The sequence below is a fragment of the Homo sapiens genome, chromosome 7 (assembly GCF_000001405.40).
Source record: "Homo sapiens chromosome 7, GRCh38.p14 Primary Assembly".
Lineage (NCBI taxonomy): Eukaryota > Metazoa > Chordata > Mammalia > Primates > Hominidae > Homo > Homo sapiens.
Window position 1 is genome coordinate 118,454,646 of NC_000007.14, and position 27,153 is coordinate 118,481,798.

Below are 27,153 nucleotides of genomic sequence, written 5' to 3' on the forward strand. Positions count from 1 at the left end.
AAATATCTTTCAAATATTTCAGCTTCTTTCCATCTGCACTGCCACCACTTTAAGCTACAATCATACCCCACCTAATCTAGAGCAGTAGACCCTCGGTAACTTTTCCCTCAGACATGTTGGAGACCCCTGGAATTTGCATTCTGCGGTAAAGGCATATTTTAAAAAGCAGACATCTACTTATGTTTCCTGGCATAAACATTTAGATGACTTACCTTTACACATGGGATACAGACTTAACTATAAGCATGTCCTATAGTCTGGCATGAAGGGGTCCCAACACTTTTCCATGGGCCTATGCTACCCTTTGATGTCTGTTCTGTTATCCTCAACTTCTTTTATTTCTTCAACTGTGCCATGCTTTTTTTCTACCACACAGTCTTTGCATATGTTCCTTTTCTCTAGGTTTTTCTCCAACTCTTTGCACAGGAACCCCCTACACATTTTTCCATGATACTTCCCAGGGTTTTTTGTATATCTATGAGCGATATTTACTCATTCAAGTCTAGTTTAGGTATTATAGTATAGATAAACTTGCATATGATGTGGTTCCTTCTCACTAGAGTTTACATTCTGCTTCAGACAGATGAAGTAAAATACCAATACACAAAATGACAACATAGTATCCATATATCAATGCAATTATATTTAAAAAGAACACATGCATTTAACATCTTCTGTGTATGAAGGATTGTAAGAGGTCTTGTCATGTGTTTTGTACTACAGAAGCTCTCAGTTTATCATAGTTAACAGGCCGGGTGTCAGGGCTCACACCTCTAATCCTCATACCTATAATACCAGCCCTTTAGGCAGCCAAGGTGGGAGGCTCGCTTGAGCTCAGGCGTTTGAGCCCAGCTGGAGCAGTATAATGAGACCCCATCTCTACAAAAAATAAAAAATTAGTCTGGTGTGGTGATGCAGGCCTGTAGTCCCAGCTACTTGAAAGGCTAAGGTGAGAGAATTACTTGAGCCCGGGAGGTTGAGGTTGCAGTGAGCTGTTATCATGACACTGTACTCCAGCCTTGTTAACAGAGGAAGCCACTGTCTCAAACAAACAAACAAAGTATTATAGTTAACAGCTTATTATAGAAACTGTATAAAAAGAAGCTTATTTTGATAGAAAGATGATGCAAAAGATTATAATAGTTTATGTATTATAATGAGGGATATAGCAGTGTTACACAAGAGAAATAAAAGAGAATACATATTATGAGTTCAGTTGTGGGCAAAAATAATATAAAGAACTTTAATGGAAAAAGACTTTAACTGGGGCTTTACCATTTAAGAATGGTGGGTAGAATTTGGATATATAAAGATGTTTCTACCATGAACAAATAATATTTATAGAGAGACAAAGATAAAAAAGGTCCAGTCTTTTTTAGGATGCAAAAGGTGATCATTTTGATTATTGCAAAGGAATCATGTAAATAAGATAGACGGTAAGAATAAACAGTTAAATTTGGGTCATATTTTTGAATTTCCTAGTAAAATATTAAAGAGATGGTAGTTCTAGCTTCTCTCACAAATACAAAATATGTGTCTGTAAAAAAAAATTCTATTTTAATGACCTTTTCAGGTTAAAATCATACAAAAGAGACAATGTGGGAGATGGAGCAGATTTACCTAAATAAATTATGTTATTATGACATTCTGTATCCTTATCATGTTACATGTATTACATTAGACTACCTGTTTTAATGGCTTAAGTCATGGTTTATTTTCCCAGACTGTCATATATCAAACACTTAGAAAATGTTTAATTAATAAATAAATATTTCTGGCTTTGGAATATAAAGTTGATTACAATATGGGTTTTGAATCTTATAAGTAAGCTTACATTAAAACAAATTATCAGTGTTAACTGGAACTTTGTTTTGGGAGTATCAAACAAGTTTTTAAAATCATTTATCTGGGATGATAATATGGTTTAGCTGTGTCCCCACCCAAATCTCATCTTGAATTGTAACTCCCATGTGTTGTGGAAAGGACCTAGTGGGAGGTGATTGAACTATGGGGACAGGCCTTTCTTGAGCTGTTCTTGTGATAGTGAATGAGTCTCATGAGATCTGATGGTTTTAAAAATGGGAGTTTCCCTGCACAAGCTCTCTCTTTGCCTGCCGCCATCCATGTTAAGAGGTGACTTGCTCTGCCTTACCTTCCACTGTGATTGTGAGGCCTCCCCAACCATGTGGAACTGTAAGTCGATTAAACCTCTTTGTTTTGTAAATTGCCCAGTCTTGGATATGTCTTTATCAGCAGCATGAAAACAGACTAGTACAGATGAATAGCATTATCTTAAAGAAAAATGTTTAAAAAATGATAAAACCCATCCCATAAATCTATTAAATTCTAGGAGTTTCTGAAGGTAGCTTGGCAAGCCTGTGAGGCAATATCTATGTTCATATCTGTCTGCATCATCAAGTGTCCAGCTAAGTTATTTTTTAATTTAAATGTTTTTTTTCATGGAAATACAAAACAATATGTGCTTCTTTCACAACTGGGGTTTGGAAACAGCCAAATGATCCGGACTGAAGGTCAGGCCTGGTTATCTATGCAGGTATTCAGGGTTAAATGCAGGTGTGCCTACGGAAGGAGTAAAAGCAGTGACAGATAGCCTGGATGTCGGTGATCTAGGAGAGGAATGTAATTCCAGAAAAGAATGAACCTAACAGAAAAGCAATTAAACAGGGATGGAATAATAATTAAAATGCAGTTATCATAAACCATAATGGTAGTATAATACCAACGTATCAGTATAGACAGGAGAAAGGCAGGTAAGCCTTTAGAAGTTAATGCGTCAGAAAATGTCAGATTAGTGGCATCTGAAATTATGCCAACAGGTTTGAGAAAACCCTCGAGGTGTGACCATAGTCCAAATACTGGGTTAGAGAATTACTCAGGTTGAGTATCTTTCATTGATCTTAACTGTGGTGAGTATTGGTCCCATAACATGGGTTGAGTGAGCTTCCAGGATGGCCTAACGTTGATTGATCTAATGAAACAGTCAAAGAGGGATAATAATATACTGAATCTACCTTGACGTGCCTTCTCAAAGTCACCATTGTAAACATCAGTTATTCTACTTTGCTGTATGTGATGTTCAGTAATTACTTTGTGACGTGTTAGTGTCCCATGCCCTTCAGTCTGGAGAACAGAGCCCATACTATGTAGTAAAATGGAGAGCATGTAAATCTCAGAACTAGTTAGCCTGTAGGAAGAACTAAAAAGCCACACAGGGGCCATGAAGCAATCCAAAGAATAGCAACAGGAAGATGTTACTATCTTCCCTTGGGCTATAAGGATCAAAGAAAGATACTTTTACCAGGGCTCACAGCCATGAAGGCAGATGCTGTCCAGGGAGATGTAGAGACATGGAAAAGACATAGCTAAGAACACAAATGGTATTCCACACCAGTAGTACCCAATGAGCTATAAGGGACATCCCTGCTCTGAGCTTGATCTCTTATTAAAATACATTTATTAAAGTATGAAATTTAAACTATATATTTTTTAGTTTCTTTGAGGTACTATGCTTATACCTTCTAAAATATAATGGGTATGAAGTGCAAAATCGTAATTATTTTTTGTTGTGAAAACAAGACTCCAAGTATACAATGGATAAATTACTCCATTTAAATTTAACATTGACTAAACATGTTAGTCAATTATATCTATCTGTGTCAGAATAAAAAATCAGTCAGTTTGTCATTATGTTTATCAAAACCAATAATTTGTTTAAAATGTGAACTTGTGGAAGGTCATCAAGACAAGGTAAATTAAACAGAAAAACATAATATCTTTTTCTCTTTAGCCTTTGAAACTTCTTGCCCAATACGTTTTAAGCAATTTACCATTTGACAGATTTCAGGTTTGATGGATTTTATTTATAATTTTACTGGACAGGGTGAGAAAAGAAACTGCTTTTAAAAAAAGGCCAGAATATAGAGAAATTTATTTGTCCCACTGTTAAAGAGCTTTACAAGGGAAATTTTTCATTTCAGTGTTTGAAAATCTTATTGGGTTTCTTACTTTAGATAATTACTTCTTCAAATAAATTTTGCCCACTAATTTCCTCTGGGACTTAACTTGCCCACTTGTCATTCAGTATATTCCTAGAGAGTAACTTGTTTTGTGTTTTCTGAAATCCATTCCAATTGTTAATTCTGATGTGAAATCAAGATAGCTCTCCTTTGAGATTTCAATTTATTTAAATTTCTTTTACTAAAATTTTCTCTCTTTATATAGGCTGGCCACATTTTTCAAATATTTGTCTTCTAAATTACTGTATTAACTTTCTACCTTTTAAAATCTATTATAAAAACAGTATCTTTTGTATTTTTCCAGGAAGAAATTATTATTTTTTAATACATTTTACTTCATTTCTCAATGGCTTTTTTTCTCCAGCATGTCTTAGAGAGTTTTAGGCTATTTCTCCATGTGTAGCTGAAGAATACTTACCTTATTTTAAAGATTCAGAAACAACACTAGACTCTATAATAAAAGAAATGATTTATCACTCCCTGTCCAGGAAACATCATTATTTTATTTTTCTGGCTTTTGTATCTTGTGAAAAGATAACAACTTTAAGTTGGTTTGGTAATGATGCATATATCGTATTTTTTTTCTCCCTATGACACATTAGACTGAAGATGATATGACTTTGACACTCATTCAGCTGAATTTCATCTGAAATGCTTTCCACAACTGAACAATATCAAGCATTTGGCTCATTTCCTGATATCATTAAACAGCAAACTCATTGCCGACTACATTTAACTCATTTTGTTGATTTTCTTTTGTAAAGACATATAGATTCAGGTTATTTTAAGCTGGATTTCCTTTCTTGTGTATTTTTCTTTCCAGAGGTACTGAATTTTGCTCACTTGAGAAACACATGCATCTGTGTGTTCATGTGCGTGCACATAAACACACAGACACATACAAACAAGTAAGCCCTGATATCTCATACAATTTTGAGACGTAGAATTCTTTTCAATTGAATTCCATTTTAGTGGCCAGCTAATTAAATGCTACTATCTGCTATTTCAGGTTTAAGAGCTTTTAAAAAAAATCAGAAGAATCATATTTTTCAAACGATATCTGATACAGAAGTTTGATGTAAGGAATGAGAATATTTTGATTTAAAAGTGAGTGTAGGGCCAAAACTCCACATTGTTGTACTTTCCATTCTATGCAGAAGCCTCTGAAGATTGTATAATACAAGGAAGTATTTTTCCTGGCAGTCCTTTCTAAGTGAAACAATTCTGAGTGTGATTGGTGGGAATACATTCTACATGTTTAGAATTCACCTATAATAGGAAATGAGGAACTTCTCATGGGTTATCAGTGTTACATTAGCTTATTTTGGCATTTTTCATTTATCAGCTCTGTCAGGAATGTTTCCTATCTATTTCTCTGTTCTTAATTTTCCCTTAGACCTTACCCACTAGCTCAACCAGAAAACTGATCCACAGAGCTAGACACCCTATGAGTGGAGTCACTGCTTCCCCTTTGTCCATTCTCTGTCATATGAAGTAGGCTTCATACAGACAAACATACAGGGTTGTTTTATCCACTAGGTAGAAAAGAGTCAGGGATCAATAATCCCAGATTAGAAAGGTGAGGATAGGAATGACCCAGCCTATCCTTATTTTAGGGATTCAGACAGGGATATCCAGATGTATTGTCATGGTGTCATATTTATGAATGGATTCTTCTTCTAGAAAACATAATGCAGGCTTGCTCTCAGCACTATAATATTTGACAGAGGAAAATAAAAATTGGAGGAAGTAGGCATGATATTTATGTAAATTATATAAATTCTTGTGTTACCTCCTATCCTTATTTCCTGCCTTCCCACAGCCCAGAATATTTCAGCAAGATGTCTAATGGTGACTGACATTTATTTCCATACGTATTAAATTTTAATACAAGTTCACTTAATCATGCAAACTATGTCTTCAGTCTCTTATTATCCCTCTTGTTTTACTGAATCGCCAGTAAAATGGATTGCTTGATCAGCTGAAAAGCAGGGGGTACAAAATAAAATAACATTTTATTTTATAGGCCTCTAACAGAGTTTGAGGCATTTGTCTCACTTGCCAGCTATGCAAATCCATGTTGAGAATAAGCATTCGTTCTGGTCAAGATCCACCAGTATCTACTTGAAGCTATGGTTAATGGGCCTAAAATATATATTTAATAGCTGTGTGCTGGCCTTAATTCTCTTGGTCCACAGCCCATAGTTACCTTTAATCTCTGATGCTCTGTTAAAAAACAGAAACATTTGATAGTCACATTTCAAGGTTCTAAATGGAATAATAAGATAAGGCTCATATCACTATTCCTGCTAAAACCATGTAACTGCATAAAAATAAGAAAAAATTTTACAAATTCAAATTGAGGACGTTTTACAAAATAGCTGGCCAGTGACCTTCAAAAGTGTCAAGGTCCTTGTAATGGACTGAAAATTTGTGTCCTTCCCCTCCAAATTTATATATCGAAGCCCTCCCCACCAGTGTAAGTTATTGGGAGATGGGGCCTTTGTGAGGAAATTAGGTTTAGATGAGGTCATGAGGGCATAATCCCCGAATGGAGTTAGTGTCCTTCATTTTTTTTTTTTTTTTTTGAGATGGAGTCTCACTCTGTCGCCTCGGCTGGAGTGCAGTGGAGCAATTTCGGTTCACTGCAACCTCCGCCTCCTGAGTTCAAGCGATTCTCCTGCCTCATCCTCCTGAGTAGTTGGGACTACAGGTGCGTGCCACCACGCCCAGCTAGTTTTTGTATTTTTAGTAGAGACAGGGTTTCACCATGTTGGCCACGATAGTCTCAATCTCTTGACCTCATGATCTGCACTCCTTGGCCTCCCAAAGTGCGAGATTACAGGTGTGAGCCACTATGCCTGGCCTAGTGTCCTTCTAAGAAGAGGAAAAGAGATTACAGCTCTCCCTCTTCACCATGTAATGACACAGTGAGGAGACAGGCAGCGGCAAGCCAGAAGGAGAGCTCTTACTAGGAACCAAATTGCCTGGCACCTTGATCTTGGACTTCCTAGCCTCCAGAACTGAGAGGTAAGTGTCAATTGGTTAAGCTATCCAGTCTATGGTATTTTGTTTTATCAGCCTGAGCAGACTTCACACAGCCCTGAAAGCAAAAGAAGACTGAAGAACTGTCAAATATTAGAAAAGACAAAGGAGACAGGACAACTAAATTCAACAGGGGTTTGGAGAGTCAATCCTGTCTGAGGAGGAACAGTCATATGCAGGCCAAGTGCAAGATGTTGAATGATGTCATCAATGAGTTAATATTACTGTATTGATGCTATTTTCCTTGTTTACAAAAATTGTTTTATGTTTGCCTAAAATAGGAAACAGCTAAAAAGGAGAGGAGAATATACTGGAATGTACTGTGGAAACTCACAGAACTAAAAGTATTAGGGAAGTTGAGGATGGGTTATGAAAACTCTCTTTAATGTATCTATAATTTTTCTGTAAAAAATTATCTCAAAGTAACAGGCTGAAACAAAGAATGAATGGGTAAGACTTCCACATTTAAATAGGAAAAAAATTAATTTTAAATGAAAAAACTTCTGCTGGCATCATTACCATTTAACATTATTTCAAAAGCTGTAAATAATGCAATTTAGACAGAAAAACGAAGAGGCCTAACTATTAGCACAAAAAAAACTTACAAATTTTACAAGTGATATAGTCACATATTTTGCATGCTTTAAAAAGTCAACTGAAAACTGCTAAAATTATATGTATCATATAAGCAATAATATACCTAGTTATAGGAGGAACACACTCATGTAGGCTCAAGTAGAGCATGCAACAAATACATTAGAGTAGTATTCTCATATAGTTTGTATTAGGTTGGTGCAAAAGCAATTGCTGTTTTTGCCATTACATTTAAATTGCAAAAACCTCAATTACATTTGCACCAACCTAATAGATTGGCACTTTTTGTTGTAACAAGCCATAAGTGCTGGCATGTGACCGTGACCCTGGCTTAATGAAACTAAGGGTTCTGTTCCTAATATATGGCAAACACACACACACACACACACACACACACACACACACACACACACACAGAGAGAGAGAGAGAGAGAGAGAGAGAGAGAGAGAGAACAACATAAACCAGATAAGGATCAGAGCTTGAAATGAAGCCAGTTCTATGAATCCCAAGTCTTTTTATCTAGGGCTTTAAAGAGAATATAAACTTTTCCTCCTCCAAAATTGCATAGATTACACAATAGGTGCTTGAATATGGTAGTCGTAGTGGCAGGGGATGGAGCCTATGCCTGGAGTCACAACTACAGGCTCCCATTTACCAAGATTAATCTAACTACTGTTACTGCCAAATATCTAACCTGACATCAATAGAAATCAATGATAAGTTGCTGATATAACATTATTAACAAGAGAAACAAACCACATAGTAGCAAATTGGTACTATATCCTTTCTACTCTACACAAGGTAGTAATTAATTCATTCTGACAATAACCAACTCTTTTCACTGCATGTCTTTGCATTTCCTGTGCATAGGGCACATGCACATGAACTCACAAAATGTTCGATCCACCAACACAGCACAATATATTAAAATACACCACATCTTAATAGCACAGAAGTTGCAGAAATTAATGCATGAGAATGGGATGTGTTGGTCCTATCATATACCATATATGGAATCACCCAGAAATTAGCAGCATACAGCAATAAAGCAGTGGAAGAACAGCCTGACGAAGTTGCAGTGCAGGTGCCAGTTTTGAGATGATGCCCATGAAGATGAGTTGTCATCTGACATGAAACCACTCTAAATTAATAACCATTATACAGTCTGCAAGCTCATTGTATAAAATATAGCAAGGGTTAGAAACAGATATGGCTCCCATTACCCTCACCCAATGACCCCCATGGGGAATTTTTCCCTCAACTTGAGTCTCTGTTGATTTAATGGTTCTCTTTCCAGAAAAGAGAACACTTCTACCAGAGGAAACAAAAGTCAGTAAACTTTAAGCTAAATCTGCTGCCCAGGAACTTTTGTTTTCTCTCTACAAAAAGTCATCAGGTAAAAAGTAGACTACCTATTCTAGCAAGGGCAATTGGACCTGATCTGCAGGTTGAGATAGAACGGCTGTTATGTAATGAGATAAGCAGGTATTTGTTTGGTACTCAGATGTGTCACCTGTCCAACTCTTAGATTTTTCTTGTACAGTTTTAAGTAATTTTTGTTGAATTGTGTTGAATTTATAGACCAAATTGGGGAGAATTGATATGGTATACATCTCTGTCTACGGAGGTCTTTGATTTCTTTCATCAGAATTTGTAACATTCAGCATAAATATCATGCACATATTTTGTTTAGGTTTATACCTAAATGCCCCATTTTGGGGGGGTGTTATAAGTAGTATTTGTGTTTGATTTCAAATTTCACTGTGAGCATTTCTCATATATAGGAATATAATTGACTTACTGTGTATTGGTCTTGAATACTCTGACCTTGGTAAATTATTTATTACGTTCATCCTGTTTGGTGTCCTCTCACATTATTGGATTTGGGGTTTAGCGTCTGCCACTAATTTTGAAAAAAATAATGTTTGCTTTCGTGATCATTTATTCAAGTATTTCTTCTTCCACTTTCTCCCTTTATTTTCCTGCTGAATTACAATTTTGATTATGTTATGTCATTCCATATTGTCTACAGGCAATTCTTGGAAGTGTGATTACTGTGTTTGTACTTTTTTTTCTATTTACCACTACTTTTCTCAGCATTCTTCATTTCTGTTATAATGTTTTTGACTTCTAGCATTTTCATTAATTCTTTTTTATAATTTTCATCTCTCTCCTGAAATTATCTTTCTGATCTTGTGTGCTGTGAATGTTTTCCAATAGAAACTTTAACATGTCATTCATAGTTATGTGAAACTTCTTGTGGATAATTCATATGCCTGGGTCACATCCAAATTGAGTTCTAGTAATTTCTTTGTTCTTTTCAGACTCTGTTGTTTACTTACCTTTCAGTATGCCTAATAAATGCTTGTTAAAAGCCAGATGTGTTGTATAGGACAATAGATTTAAGTAATTTTTATTCTTAAAGATTAGCATAACTTCTCTTGTCCTAGGTGTTAATATTTTAAATATTTTTAATACTACATCTATCTATCTATCTATCTATCTATCTATCTATCTATCTATCTATCTATCTATCTATCACATTTATTAACTGATCAGTACCTGTTTGCCCTGTACTGTCCTTGGGAATAAGTTAGGATTATTGAACATATCCCCTGAATATAAAAGAAGTTACACACACAAGATCTTACTCAAGGAGCTCCCATTCTGTTTAGAGAAACAGACCTGAATGAAATAATTTCAGAATATTTACAAAATGTTCTTCCACTATCTTTATGTAAATAACAAATTCTGAAGAGAAAACCATATAAGTGAGCTGGAATAGTGAGAAATGTCCTCACCTTTAGAATACATAGCCACCAGAATCAGGGGATAGGTTTCTATTAGGTGGGGAGATCTAGAACTTCAAGCCTGTATTTCTGCTTTGTGAATTTTAGGCTGTTGGGATTGTCAGACTCACAGATCTCATTCATATTAGGGCACTAGAGCCTAGAATGTGTTTCTAAAAACCACATTTCTTAAACATCACTCAGTTTATAAAAATTATTTTTAAGGTTCCATATGCTAACTGCTGAATCCTTTGACATGGACTTTGAATACTCCCTATAAAGAAATTTGCCACATTCAAAAGTGGATATGTAATTAAGATATTTCAAATGCTAACTACTTGTGCAGTTAAAATTAATTTTGTTATAAAAATTATCAAAAATTTGAAAATTTCAGCTAAAGGTGAATGGCACGTTCTTTCAATGTCATATATGTATGAAGGCCATCCAAGTATTTATCAAGGGCAGAAGCTGACAAATATTTTCTGTAAAGAGCCAAATAGCAAGTTCCTTTCCCAATAAAACTTTATTTGTTATAGTAAAACAGAAATCAGGCTGGTTTCAGCCTGAAGCTTGTATTTACTCACTCTTGATCCAGGCATGGGCACTTTTGTGTCTTACTATTTAACATTGATTAAATTTCCCAGAATTTTGATGTTACATGTTAACTTTTAGAGGTTGTCTGGTATAGATGAAAATAATTTATTTCCAGTATAAATAATAACTCCCCAAAATACAATTTATTACACTGCAGGAAATTAACCAGTTGTGTATATAATACAATATATACCAAGCTTCCCAAATATATTATTATCCAACAATTTATATGGAATATTTCAAAATAACCACAGACAAAACAAATAGCATGCAAATTAAAAGAGTGTGATACTCTAAATCAAGGAATTATTGATATCTGGTTTACTATTCCCTAGCAGCCAAAATAAAACATTTATTTCATCTTGATTTCTCTTCCAAGGTTAATTGTATTACTGACTTGTGCTTTGATTTTGATGAAGGAAGTTTGATATGCACCTCTCCAAAACTGTTCAAACAATCCATGTATCAGATAGAAAAGCAACTGAGAGTTGAGTGTTGTTGTAGGGAATAGTGGAAAACCTTTCATAATCAAAGACAGAAATTTATCTCTGTCTCTGTCTCTTTCATACACACACACACACACACACACAGAGAAATATACACAAAAATCACATAGAAAAATGTGCATTTTATCAATAGTTTACTAATGTGAACTTTTCCTCCAACTCTCACGATTTAAATATGAATAGAAGCCAACACTTGAATAATATCAACTACCCATGGCATCACTAAATGCTGCTAAAATGTTATTTCTTTGATTGCTAAAGAAATTAATGACCACCTTGAGTTGTATTTTAATAGCTGGCATGTATTTAATAGCCTAAGAAATAATACTATAACTGACACTAATTTCTATTGTTACATTTATTGCAAGGCTAAAAATAATGTTGCTAAGCAACAATTTAAAATAAAAGAAACTAAAATGTATTTTCCATTCTAAAAACATGAACAACTTGGCTATACTAAAAACTTTTCATTAATTTAATTGACCAGTTTTGTAACTGATAACTGGAAGTCATGATAGATTTCATTCAAATCCAAGATTACCTGGACTGTTTTCAAATCATTTTTATAGAAAAAACAATAGTACAATAGTTTAAATATATATAATTGTATTTGTTTATTCATTACTCCTCTGAGTGAACATTAGTATTCTACAGAGCTCTGGAGCAATATTGAGTAGTGGTCATGGAGATATTTCAGCTCTACTTTCTTCTTTAAAGACTATGCCTTTGTGCACAGCTCCCTTTCCTGAGGGACAAGGTGATGTTGGCAGAGCAGCAGACATGGAAATCATGTTGCAGTAACACAGAAAATGAAGGAGTTCTTTGGGGAGAGACTGAAAGAAAACGTTGGGCTTAATTACAGTTGAGTTAGATACAACAAGGGAGAGGAAGGTTAAAATAAATATTTGGTATTGATTCATGGGTCATTATGAACATTTCAATACCTTTCAATGATACAAAATTATAGTTTTACATAAAGAACATTGCACATAAGAAATTAGTGTCCACAAAGCAATCCAGACAGAAATCAATATGTTTAAAGGTATGTTGAAAATAGAATACTTATACCCATGAAAACAAAACAAAACAAAAACAAAAACAAAATAATCAGACTCTTGTATTTTGTATAAAGATTTCAAAACATGGGAGAAATAGATTGTTATTACTGCAAATAGCAAACCTTATATTACATTTCTATGTAGGTAAGTTAAATGTTTAGAAAAATGCTCATGGAATTGATTATGTTAATAAGGGAACATCTTAAGACTAATTCAAAAAATTTGGGAATGCACAGGAAATTGAACACACGACAGTGCTGAGAAAAGAGCCCAGAATAGAAAGTAGTATGACCTTAGGAAGTCATGTGAGCACTATGCTCCTTAGTTTGGTTCTCTGAAAAACAAAGAAGTTGATTAAAGTAGTCATTGGTATGTTTTTTTTTTTTTCCATCTTCCACCCTTTACTCCATGCCAATCACTATCGCTTAAATCAGTCTTAAAATAGGCTGTCATACACTGCCATAGTTGCTTTAATGATTTAATTTTAATTTAATAATTTAATTTTTGCAGTTAAAAAATATATTGTATTATATCTGTCTGATGATACCGCAACATATTGCATTGTATCTCTCTCTTCCTGTATGTCTTAAAAAATTTTGTTAAACATAAGAAAAGTTAAACCTAAGAAGAAATATCCTCTCCATAAGTAATATTTTGTTTCCTGTTCTAAAAGCAAAGTAAAATACAATTTTAATGAAAAATTTCCAGCACCAACAATTAGAGAAAATATCTGTTTCCAACATTCATAATAGCAAACCTTAAGATATTTCCTTCAGATCAAAATGTTTAAAGATGAATTCCAGTTTAAAGCCCTTAACCTATGAACCTACTATTTCCCACCCTGTGAGGCATCTTTCATTAGAGAAAGCCATTATCCCAAAATTGGAGTGTATCCTCTGCCTCTATGCTTGTTACTCTCCTATGCTGAGTTTTAACACAAATTTTATTATGGGCTTTTTGAATTATTTTAAAACTTAATGTAACTGTCATTATGCTATATCATTCTTCAACTTGATACTTTTAAGTCACATTTTTGCAATGAATCTATGGTAAAACATATAACTTCTAAAATGACCATATAGTTCATTACAATTTCTTATGTAAATATAATATGTTATACTTCCTTGTGTAAATATAGTACATTATATTTCCTTGTCTAAATATAGCACACTTTTCCCATTTGTTACCTATTGTTTCCATTTCATTTAGCATTGATGACATTCATGAACAATTGTTTTCAGAAATTATGAACCAATGTAAAACCATGTATATTTATAGAATTCGCTACACTAATAACATAATAATCAAAGGACCATGTCTTTCCTCAGTTCTTCTAGGTATCGATAAATTGCTTTCCAAAACTGCTGGACTAATGAACACTTCCCACATTTGTGTATGAAACTCTCTGTTTCTCTACAATATACTAACCATTTAGTATTGATTTTTCACTGATTTCATTAAGTGTCACTAAATGTCAATAGATGTGCAATAGTATGATTTGTTCTTAATTTGTATTTACCTGGTTACTAGAGAGTTTGAGCTTCATCCTTAAATATTTCATGAGGTCCACCAAACAATTCTTAAAGATGAAATACTATCAATATTTCCATTCAAGTTAGCAATAAAAAGAAATGCAAATGCTCCTTTACTTATGAGTGGATTGCATTCTGATAAACTCATTGTAAGCTGAAAATATTTTGAACTGAAAATGCATTTAATACATCTAACTTCCCAAACATCATAACCTAGCTCATCTTAAACATCTTCAGAATACTTACATTAGTCTCCAGTCAAGCAAAAATCATCCAATACAAAGCCTATTATATGAGAAATTGCTGAATATTTCATGTAATTTATTGAATAGTGTACTAAAAATAAAAAACAGAATGGTTCTATGGGTACTTGAAGTAACAGTAACAAAGTAACAGATTTAATATTGCTTAGTAATAGATAAAATTGCTATGTGATTTTATACCTAGAAAATTCAACAAATATGAGTATTGTTGCTTATAATATGTAAAAACACATTTTAAAGATATGGTGACTAAAAGGTATTTTTAGTGAAAGCATAGCCAGATAATTATAGACCTATGATGATAGCAGACTTTAGTGTGTATACATTTGACATTTAAAATCATTGAAATATGATTCACTATTCACAAAATAATAATGAACCAATTTGCTCATCCAACTGAAAAACAAAAATAAAACTATAATTTTCTTTCACTACAAAAAAACCGCATTCATTAAATTTCCAAGTAAAAATTTACACACAGACAAAAAACTGAATTAAAACACAGTTATGATTTATATTATTTTTTAAACAATAAAAAATAAAATTCAGAGAGCTTGAAACAAATGTTTTCAGGTCATCTCTAAATATTTTAACAATGTACAGGAAAAAACTAAGAGAAATGTTTGAAACATATCATTATAAAATGATTAATGTACACAGAAAAAAGAACTACCACAAGCAAGACAATAGATTATTAAGTAGAGGAATTGCACAAGCAATTCACAGAAGAAGTAACTCAAATGGCCTATGAGCATATGAACAATGCCAAATACCTTTAGTAATCAGTAAAATGAAATTAAAATAACCAAAATATCTAATAGTTTGCCCACCATGTTATCACTCTTCATTTGTTAATATTACATTTAACAGTATGTGGGGAAAATTATACTTTCATAAAGTTCTATTAATATGTTGTGGAGGACAATTTGAGAGCCCTCAGAACTTAAATGTAAATATTCAAAATTCAACAGTTTGATTTCCTATGGAAATATATTTACATTTAGACAAAAAGATATGTAGAAATGTTTAATTGCATCTTTTACTGTAATAATAAACTATTGGATATTAATGTAATTTTATTAATAGAAAAATGGTTAAGTGATTTATGGCACATCCAATTCAAGCAGATGTTAAATGTGATATAGCTGTTAAGCATATTAATCTTTATTGTAGTGACCAAAAAATATGTTGAAAACACTCGTACTGAATAAAACAAATATAATGAGTAACAGTGGCTTTTTCTGAGAAAAGGACTGGAATTATGAATAATGCTTGGTGAGAGAGATTTTGAACATTCTACTCTGTACACTCAATTTTTAGAATAACTTTTAATCTACCTTTGTATTACAATACATGTACATTAAAATAGTCAGTTTCAAAAGATATATCTGAAACTATTCATGAACATTTAGATAAAGTTAATATTATCTTGCAACTCTGATCTTGTGTATATTATCTGATAATATTATTCATGCAACCTGTAGGAATCAAAAATTCAACCCTGATAACTTTTGACTCATTAATTTTAACTTTTTATTTTGAGATATTGTAGATACATAAGCAGTTATAAGAAATAATACAGATAGAACTCATATGTCCTTCACCCCCAATGGTAATATTTGCTTAGCAATTGACTCATTAAATTTTATATGAAAAAAATGCTTAGTGCATTTCTTTACAGGAAAAATACATTTTCAATTACTTTCTCAACTTATAAAATGACTTTGGATTAAAAATAGAGGTACATAGATTTATGTCTTAGCTTTTGGTAAGGATTTTTATATGTATTCAAATATTGCAGGAAGATATTATATGAAACCAATTTTCTTTAATTCAATAGTTACCAAAATTTCAATTGTGCACCACTATTAATAAAAAATATATAAAATGCATATATGTGCTAGAGTACTAACAATAGTTAAATTACAGACATAAAATAGAAAAATGAGATGAAAAATACATTAACATATTTGGCAAATACTGTTTATTGTACCTAAATATGATATGAATTTTATTAAAAGTATTATTTTACGCTTTTTTAATATGCTTAATTATATTTGAAAATCTTGTTTTATTCTTTTGAAATAAAGCAGTTCAAACATGCATACCTGTTAGAATTGGAAAAGGAAAAAGTGTCTCCACAAAACAAAAGCACCTTATTTCTGTGTTTTTGAATGTGTGTACATGTGAGTACTTAATTATCATCACAAAAAGATGGAGGTTGAAGACAAAAAAAAAGAAGAGCAAATTGATAGAATGAAGTCCCAGAGGATGTAGAAGAAAGAAGGGTTCTGATGCATGATTCTTGGCTAGGAGGAGCACTGCTTCACCTGAAAGAGAAGAAAGGGGATTTTGAAAGACAGGTAGATGTAGATGTTGTGACTACTTCACTTTAGACAAAGTTTCTCATCTTACTTGAGAAAAAAACAAATGCTGGCTTTCATCAGATTTAAGCAGAAAAAGGGGAGTCCACTGAATCTATAGTTTATCCATTTTTTGCAACAGAAATTTAATTTATAAAGTTTTAATAGGCCAGATGTTTATGGCTTATTGTATTATAATTGTTTATTGGTTCCAGCTCTTGTAAGCACGGTTACTTGATGAGACCGAGATCTTCATAATCTATATTCTAACGAACTATGTGCTAACAACACTGATGTCTAAACAGAACTGGAAGTTTAACATTACAAGATGAAGATTTCACATATTCTTTTTTTTCTTTTTTTTTGGTCTGCTTATATACTCCTGTTTGCTTCATTCGTCACAAGTTAGATTCTTTGAAGGCACGTGTTGAAAGATGTTTATTATGAACCAAAACCTGTGAAGGGAAGAGGAGGAAGCAGGATTGTGCAGAGAAAGAAGTTCAAGAGTTGTGCAGGCTCAGCAAACCTCAATCAACTTAGTGGGAAGCTCAAAAGTGAGATTTCTCATCCCAGAGTCCTGGTTTGGTTGGGATGGCCAGGCCTTTATATCCCTGCTTCATTTAGTCACTCCATGTAAGCTGCCCTGGGAAGGACGTGACTTCTGCCAATGCTGTAGCTGAGGAAGCCCTTAAGGAAGTAGCTACAGAGCTCTGTGATTCTATCTTTAGAGCATAGACAGAGCATATCCACCAATTGTTGACCTATGAAGTGTTATATATATATTGAATATGCCTAGTCAGGCTACATCAATTACATTCCCTAGCTAAATATTAGAACTTTATTTTGCTATCGTTTGCACATCGTGTCCTCCTCACCACCCCGTCTCCTACCTTTCAGTGCCAAAACCAAAATATGCCAAATTATTCCCTAAATCACATCAGGGCATTTGACTCTCAAAATTCAAGAAAAGGACATACAGTCTTCTCTTTACATCTGAGATTGCCGCATCCATGGATTCTGCCAATTGCTGATCAAAAATATTTTGGAAAAAAATTTTACAAAATTCCAAAAAACAGAACTTGAATTTGCTGTGTGCTGAGTATGACATTGAATTCATGTGATGAAGCAATGTTGGGCATTGCATTAGCAGTTATAAGTAACCTAGTGATGATCTGAAGTATTCAGGAGGATGTGTATAGGTCATATGCAAGCACGACACCATTTTATAAAAGGGACTTGAGCATCCAGAAATGTTGGTATCTGCAGGGGTTCTGGAACGAATCTCTCATGGATACTGAGAGACAACTGTATTCTCATGACACAGAGGTAACTTTGGACTCAGCGATTAAGTGATGAGTCAGACATATTAACAAACCTGGACAGAAAACATAAAAGCAGGACACCATATGGACCTATAGAATCAGGCACTCTTAGGGTCAACAGGGCAGATGTGTGTCAAAACATACAAACAAAAAGTTCCTCAGTTTGATTGGAATGACTAAGAAACCCCTATTCCATAATAAGCTGTATATAAGTTATGAAGAAGTAAGTTCTGAAAGTGTAATTAAGCATGGAGATTTGGGACAGCTGATAAAACAGAACAACCTGATGGAGGTTAGTACAGTTGCCTTGACCTCTTTCCTGGTGGCACTTTTGGAAGGAGATGATTTTGCCTCCCATATGCCATAAAAAAGCGCATATAGCATAAAAATATAATATAGAAGTGAGAGTAATATGTACAAAGGAATCCAATCTGTGCCAGACATGAAGTAACTTGACCAGGAAAATGTCAGAAACAAGACTGGGATGTAAAAGGTGAGTAAAGCTCTCAGGATAAGGATTTGTATCTATGCTCACCTTGGTTCTCTCTTGCACATATCAGGGCATCAATAAATATTTATGAGAAGGAGTTACAAGGAAGTAGAACAGGTAACTAAGTTCATGAAGAAGTGGAGGTAGCACTGACTGCAGGTACGTGGCAGCACCCATCTGCTGTACCGATGCCTGATGGTGGATTGGACAGAAAACGTGGGAGGCAAAAGTCATCTCCTTCCAAAAGTGCCTCCGGGAAAGAGGCCAAGGCAACTTTGCCAGGACTACTCCTAACCTCCATCAGCAGGCTCACCAGCACATTGAGTTTCCTAGTTTAACAAGAAAGCATCTGCAAATGTGTAGCGAGATGATTGAACTACATTTTATGATTTAAAATAAACATTGAATATTTCTAATAAAAAATGAATTTATATAATGTCTGTTATGCAACCTTGGCCAATTGTGTTTACTACACGTTTCCTTAAACATGCCAGAACAGAAATATTTTCTGTAAACACTTAATTACAGAATATTTTTGAATTGACCCGAATTTTCAGTAAATTAAATGTGAGTAATCTATGCAATTTTTAAGATTCAAATGTTTTATTTAGCTCTAATTATTTAGGCAGAATAAACTTGAAAGTAACAATTTAATACATTAATTTTCTATTTCAGATTATAAATTCCTTGCTTACTCATAGCAAAAAATTTGAAACATAATTATGTAATAATTGCCTTAAATTTGTTCTTTATTTTTCCTGTGTCATCAGAGACTTGATGTTATTATGGCATTCTGTAACTAAAGTTAAATATTTTACTTTAACAGAAAACTCATGTTAATCCTCTTTTCCCAAAACATCTTTCCATAAACACAAATTTTCTTCCCTTCCTCTTGTTTTGTCCTTTTCTTCTCTCAGATTCTGTTTTTCTCTCTCTCTTATACAAACACACACAGCTCACACACACACAAAGTCATTTTGTTACTATATAGTAGATGGAGTACTCATTTTAATTCCAGGGCATAGCCTATTGTATTAGTCAGGGTTTTCTAAAGGTGCAGAAGTAATAGGATAGATGTGTATATGAAGGGGAGTTTATAAAGGAGTGCTGACTCACACAATCCAAGGTGAAGTCCCACAATAGACCACCTGCAAGCTGAGGAGCAAGAAAGCCAGTCCAAGTCCAAAAAACTCAAAAGTAGGGAAGCCAACAGTGCAGCCTTCAGTTTGTGGCTGAAGGCTTGAAAGCTCCTGGCAAACCACTGGTGTAAGTCCAAGAATCCAAAAGCTGAAGAACCTGGAGTCTGATGTTTGAGGGCGGGAAGCATCCAGCATGGGAGAAAGGTAAAAGCCTGAAGACTCAGAAACTCAAGTCCTTCCACATTCTTCTGCCTGCTTTATTCTAGCCACACTGGCAGCTGATTAGATGGTGCCCACCCAGATTGAAGGTGGGTCTGCCTCTCCTAGTCCACTGACTCAAATGTTAATCTCCTTTGGCAACACCCTCATAGACACACCCAGGAACAATATTTTGCATCCTTCAATCCAATCAAGTTGACAACTCAATATTAACCATCACACCTATTAATAACACTGGGTGCATGTATCAGGCAGCACCATGTTAACTAAAGGCTTTGCTTTAATCCCATAAAGTCCTCACAGTAATTCCAGGAGCAAACATTATTGTTCTTTTTTCACAGATGAGGAAAATAAAGCCCAGAGTGTTCCAGTGATGGGCCTCGATTCACTCAGCTTCAAGTCGGCCAGACTCCAATGCGCAGGCTCAATCAGGTGCATGTACTGTTTTCTTGTCTATGAAATACTGAATATTTTTAGAAGAAGGGAGGAAATAGAGACAATACTTCTGCCTTGTGGCCTGGTGGTGTACACACCTACCTCTCCATTGTAGAGTCTGCTCAATTCTGCCTAATACCCAACAGTGCATAAGAAATGACCAGGGATGAACTCAACAAACATCAAAGTTTTCAGGTAGTGACACCTAGTCAATACAACATGACATTTTGGGGAGAATTCATTGTAAGATGAGATGGGATAAGGTAAAAACATAAAATTAAGGTAAAAACATAAAAGTTAACAAAATTATAAAAGAAAACGGGACATTTTATTTAAAAAAGAAAATGCTAAAAATATTGATTTCTGTCTTACCTTTGCTAAAATGTCTATAAATTGTTTATCTTGAATATAAGAATGAAGGATTCTGAACTAAGGCAAGATTATTAACATGATTTTTCATACCAGAAAATAAAGCATTTTCTTAAATCAAGAAGAATACTATATTTTAGAAATATAAATAACACTTGCCAAAGGATATTCATATTCTGCGCTTTTTTTAACAGTCTGAATTTAGTTAGTTGAATCTCTCTAGCCTTATCTATAAAATGGGGATAATAGTTAGAGTCTTACTAAGGGTAGGGGCAAATTAAATGAGATAATATATGAAAGAACTCAGCACTACACAAGTCACTGGTACCATTTATTGGTATATACTATAAATGATATATAGTATTTGTAGAATTTATTATAAATTACAGAATTAAGTTTTGGGTTTAGTTCTAATTACATATAGATGTAACCCTAAATTACATTCCAGATTTCTGCCAACATAAATGTACAAAACTGTTGCAATTATTTTGATATATAATCTATTTCTACCCTAGTCAGACTTGGTATTTGTCTTTCTGGATCATGCTGGGGTATGATTCTCATTGCGGACAGAATAACAACAAGAAGACCTTGAGAATAAGCATCAATTTGTGAGCCCCAAGGTGAGGTTATAGTATAGGATCTTCCAGTAGGGAAAGACTGGTCTCAGAAACAAAAGAGGAGACTACTTCCACTGGCAAGGGAGGTTCGGGGTGACTTGGGGTTGAAGATTCTCAGCTTCATTTGTATCCAATCCAATGAAATCTTTTCAATTATGAGGATCCCATTCTTTCCCAAACAATATCCTAACGTTTACATGAGAGAATTGATGAGGCTGCAAATTTGACTTCTGTTATACTTTTGCAACCCACTCAATTAAAATTTATGTCTGATTTTAATTAAGACCAGGCCTGTAGCTATAAAGAATAAGGGTTTATTTTAGGACTGTTATAGAATTTCTACAGTTATCTGACTCTAATTTGAGCTGTGACAGGGCTGAGCTTGTTTTGTTTCTGTAAATAACCCAGTGCACCCCTTGGAGTCATCCTGACTACAGTTAACAGTTGAGAGAAGCAGTCGCTTGGTGCCCCAAGGAACTTGATTCATCAACATAAAACAGAGGCAGTAATGAGATTAATCATGATGGCACTACATGTTGTGGATTAGCTCCATCCATTTGCCACTTGTAAGGAGCTCAGTACTGTGTTCTCTACTAGAGACATAACCAAGCCAATTTCAAACTTCCGTCTTTGAAGGTTTCTATTTTTGAGTCCTCGCTCCTGGTACCAATATCTTTTTCAGCCAGGGAGGTCCAATAAGGAGATATACACCACATCAGTTATTTTAACAGAAAGAATTTAACATAAAGAATTGTTAACTACAGCTTGAAAAAATAAAAAAGGCTAAAGCAACCACCAAAGTAACACATAGGTAATAACAGCAAGAAGTATTCGACAACCTTAGGGCTTAGTGACAAAAGGAAGAGTTTAAAATTATTAAAACTTAGAAGCATGAATGAGTCTCTCCATCTATGAAATTCATGTATCTGAGGAAGAGATACTGGCTGGGTTTAGCTGGGGTCTCTGAGGGAATGTCATGAGCCTTATTTTAGGAGTATTAGAAAAACTGCAAACCACTATCAAATGCTGCCACTGAAACTATTTCCAGGGCGAAGAAGCTTTCCTGAAGCAACAACAGGAACAGGAAGCAAAAAGGATTTGAAATGAAATAGCAAGGGGTATGTATCTTTTTGATTCTTCCAGCCTTTTGGTCTCTTTTTAAATATTCCTTGTTGTCAGAATCTAATAGGGAGCTAATTGGCAAAGCAAGAGTATGGTTTGCCAAGTCCTAGCCCTAGTATCGCAGAACAGATGATGAGTTTGGATCTAGGAAAATAACTGGTAAAGGGAATTTGAATTTCAGTGTAAAAAATGAGATATATATTTTATATACAAGAAAGAATGAATATATCTTTCGCTTCTGATTTGTTAAATTAGTTGTATGGTTTACAAAGTTTTAGAACATTGTAATTTGAGTTCTGAAAGAGAAATTATTATTTGTAAAACAGGTAATTTATTTCACAATGTGGGAAATTGTATATGGAAAGCTTCAGCATAAATATATAACCATGGCAGTGGGTTACAATATGAACTCCCTTTCTGAGACAATATGAGAAGAGGGTATAATACTTTAAGAAGAGTATTCTCACACAGAGTAAAGATTAAACAAGAATGCATAAGAAGTCTCCTTATGTCTTCTCTCTACTTCACACATTCATTCTACATGGTATTTTTATTTTTCAAATCTTCCTAAAACATTTTAATTTTCCTCTGTTGTGGGGGGAGTCATATGTTTTCTTTTTCTTCTTGTATCAAGTAAAATCTTCTCTAGTTTACTTATAAGGAAATGAATGATTTAACCCTTCCATATCTATTTCAGACACTTCCACTCTTAGCTCTGCTTTCCTTCTAATAGAATAAAAACTACGATGGAGTCATTATTCTCACTGCCCTTGTTTTCATTTCCTTTTGTTTCTTTTAGATTCCTGATGCATGGAATAACACCTTCTATTACTAGTCTTATGCAGATATTATGTACTTTTGAAGGCCCAGCCCGAATTTTTTTTGGGTGACCTGATTATCCATTATGTATTTGATAGTCATACATAGCAGAGTGTAATATTGGGATAATAAATTGTTTTTGTTTTCAATATGTTACCTTTGCCCCAATTCAAACTTTTTCTAGTTTCTTAGTATTTGCTGGCCCCAGATAAAATATTAGATGACACTATCTCTCCAGGCTCTTGCTAAAAGCCTGAACTCATTGTGGGTTACCGAAGGGTGGGCTGGATGAGCTGGATGAGCCGATTGATAGGACTCTGAGGAGAGAGCAAGACTTAGAGGAGGAGGGTAAATGAGAGCACTACAGAAGCTAAACCACAGGACAAGAGTGCCTCATATTTTCATGTGTCCTGTGCTTGGGGGGATGGCACCGAAGCAGCAAAGCCATTTGCTGAGAGATTACTTCACACAGTCCTGGTGATAGAACCTGGGCTTTGTGGATAAAGCAAGGGAGTCAAGCCAAGCTTTCCTTGTAACAAGTGACAGGGAAAGAAGAACAAGGTATAACACACACGCTTCTGATGTATTCTTCTCTTTAGTATTAGGAACTGGATTGAATAAGTGAATTGATACTTCAGACATCTTCCACTCCTTAAATTGAGACACTGGAATACTATTTATATACCATTTTTGTTTCTTTAAATTTTTTTATTTATTTATAGATGTCATACAATGAGAGAAATGTTTATAGGTTATGTTTGGCTATATTTTCGGGTGCATGATGCAATAATAATCTCCTTAGGTCCTAATTTCTGATGCTTCTCTAATATTTTGTTAAACTTTGTGGGAGGATATGGGAGGATGGATAATTTGCTATGTATTTAGTGTGAACATAATAATTGTAATTGGAGAAAATTCATTTTATTGCTATCATTTTTGATTTGATTCTGGAAAATAGCATTTTGCTTTTTATTTGGCAAATAAAATCTTTTATGAATTTTTAATGAGATACATATGGAAGTAGTTCATCAAAGGTTTATTTCTCTATGGCCATATTTGATGTAAAATACAAATGCCAAAATGTCATTTACAGAGCTTTTGTTCAAGAACAGGAATAAACTGACAGACTTTCAGCCACACAAACGAAGTGCATTTTTATTGGCTGCATTTCAGATAATGGCAAGGTTATAACACTGTTGACAGAGATTTTTCACCCATCTGTTAAAACTGCTTCATGCTGCTGAGTATTAATAAGCAAGTCTTTTAACGTAACAACACCAAACATTAAAACATTTCACCTTGTGCTTCATTTTTGCCATTATTCTTATATGAACATAATTTTTACATGTAAAATCATTACTCCTTTACTGTTTGATAGGCTTTACCCCGAAATTGAGTAATTATCAACTACAATCATTAGAATTCATATAGAAATATTTAATCATTTAGATCTACTTACAGGAAGGTTTTTCTTTCCCATGATAAAGTTTACATAGTACAATCAAGATGCTAATGGCTTTGTTTTAAAAACAAAATAAAATCATGGTTACAAGGAAAATAAAATATAAACTAAAAATGTTAGGTATTAAGAGATAACACTTCCCATAAATATAGTAAAAGAACAAGGTATACAACAGGAAACAAACAATTTAAAACTTTAAAAATAGGTTATTATTTGTGTTTCACTTTTACTATTTCTAGAGCTCACAATTTCTTTGTGTAGATTCAAATTTCTGTCTGCATTCATATTCCTTCTGCCTGAAGATCTCCCTTTAGCATTTCTTGTATTGTGTTCCTACTGGCAATGAATTTTCTCAGTTTTTGTCAGAAAAAGTGTTTGTGTTAATTTCATTTTGTAAAGCTATTTCTACTTGTTAGAGAATTCTGGGTTGACAGGTTTTTTTTTTCCATTCGGTACTTTAAACAAGTCAATTCATTGGCTTCTGAATGCATATTTCCTGAAGAAATATGCGTTATATATGCAATGTAGGTCTATAATTCTCTCTCCCATTTTTCTCCTTTCTTTCTTTTTTTCTTTCTCTTTCTTTCTTTCTTTCTTTTCTTTTTTTTTGACAAAGTCTTGCTCTGTCACCCAGGTTGGAGTGCAGTGGCATGGTCATGACTCACTGCAGCCTTAACCTCCTAGGCTCAAGGGATTCTTCCACCTCAGGCTCCTGAGTAGCTGGGACCACAGGCATACACCATCACACCTGCATAATTTATTTAAATTTTTTTCACTTTTGATAGGGACAGGGTCTCTACAGACAGTTTGCTCAAACTGGTCTCAAACTCCGGGGCTTACTTGATCCTCCTGCCTCAGCCTCTCCAAATGCTTGGATTACGAATGTGAGCCATCATGTCCAGCTATATTTTTTATCTTTGTTTTTCTGTATGTAATGTGTCTGTCTTAGTTTGTTTTGTGCTGCTATAACAGAATGCCACAGACTGAATAATTTATAAAGAATGGAGATTTGTTTTCTCATAGTTGTGGAGGCTTGGAAGTCTAGGATCAATGTGCCAGCAACTGGCATCTGGTGAGGCCCTTCTTGTTGCATCCTCACATGACAGAAGAAAGAAGGGCAAACGAGATGAACTCTGTGTCTTCATATGGCAGGAGAGCAGAAGACAACAAATCCACTCCTGTAAGCCCTTTTTATTAAAGGCTTTTATCTATTTATAGTGGTGGAAACTACATAATTTAAACACCTTCCATTAAGCCTCACCTTCCAACACTGTTGCATTGGGAATTAGGTTTTCAACACATGAATTTTAGAGAGGACAAAAACATTCATGCCATGAATTCATACCAATGTCCTTTTTCTTCTCTGGCTACCTTTAAAATTTGGATTTTTTTGGTGGGGGAGGGGGGTTAGCAATTTAAAAATATGTCTGTTTGTGAATGTGTGTGTTATTCATCTTACTTATGGTCTTTGGGCTTCTTGTAGCCTTGATTTGATATATTTCACTATTTTGGGCATTTTGAGCCATACATTTTTTCTTTTTCATGTATTTTTTGCCCTTTTATTTCTAACTTATCCTTCAGTTACTCCAATTAAATCTATGTCAGAATATGTGACATATATATAAATATATATAAATATAGATATATAAATACAAAAAATATACATAAATACATATATAAATACATATATATATAAATATATATATAAATAATGTAAATATATATAAATATATATATCCATTGGTCTTGGGCAGCCTCTCCCCTGTGGCTTTGCAGGGTACAGCCCACCTCCTGGCTGCTTTTACGGGCTGGAGTTAAGTGTCTGTGGCTTTTCCAGGGACACAGTACAAGCTATTGGTGGATTTAGCATTCTTGGGTCTGGAGAATGGTGGCCTTCTTCTCACAGCTCCACTTGACAGTTCCACAGTGGGGACTCTGTGTGGGGGTTCCTGCCCCACATTTCCTTTCCATACTGCCCTAGCAGAGGTTCTCCATGAGGGCTCCACCCCTGCAGCACACCTCTGCCTGGACATCCAGGAGTTTCCATTCCTCCTCTGAAATCTAGGGGGAGATACCCAAACTTCAATTCTTGACTTTTGTGCACCCTCAGGCCCAACACTCTGTGTAAGCTGTGTAAGCTGCCAAGGCTTGGGGTTTGCAATGCCCTGAGCTCTATGTTGACTCCTTTTGGCCAAGGCTGGGCATCAATGCGGGGCGCTAAGTCTGAGACTACACAAAGAAGAAAGGCCCTGTGGCTGGCCCATGAAACCAGTTTTTTCTCATAGGCCTCCCAGCTAGTGATGGGGGGCTGCCATGAAGGTCCCTGACATGCCCTGGAGACATTTTCCCCATTGTCTTGGCAATTAACATTTGG

General features: G+C 34.5%; 1 long non-coding RNA gene across 1 annotated transcript; it reads left to right on the forward strand.

Annotated features, from left to right (window-relative positions):
* Positions 1 to 1,011: 1,011 nt before the first annotated feature.
* Positions 1,012 to 26,091, forward strand: LOC105375472 (uncharacterized). Its single transcript, XR_001745344.2, has 4 exons — positions 1,012 to 20,384; positions 21,272 to 21,379; positions 22,425 to 22,494; positions 25,803 to 26,091. It is a non-coding gene; the product is annotated as an uncharacterized LOC105375472 (long non-coding RNA).
* Positions 26,092 to 27,153: the final 1,062 nt, after the last annotated feature.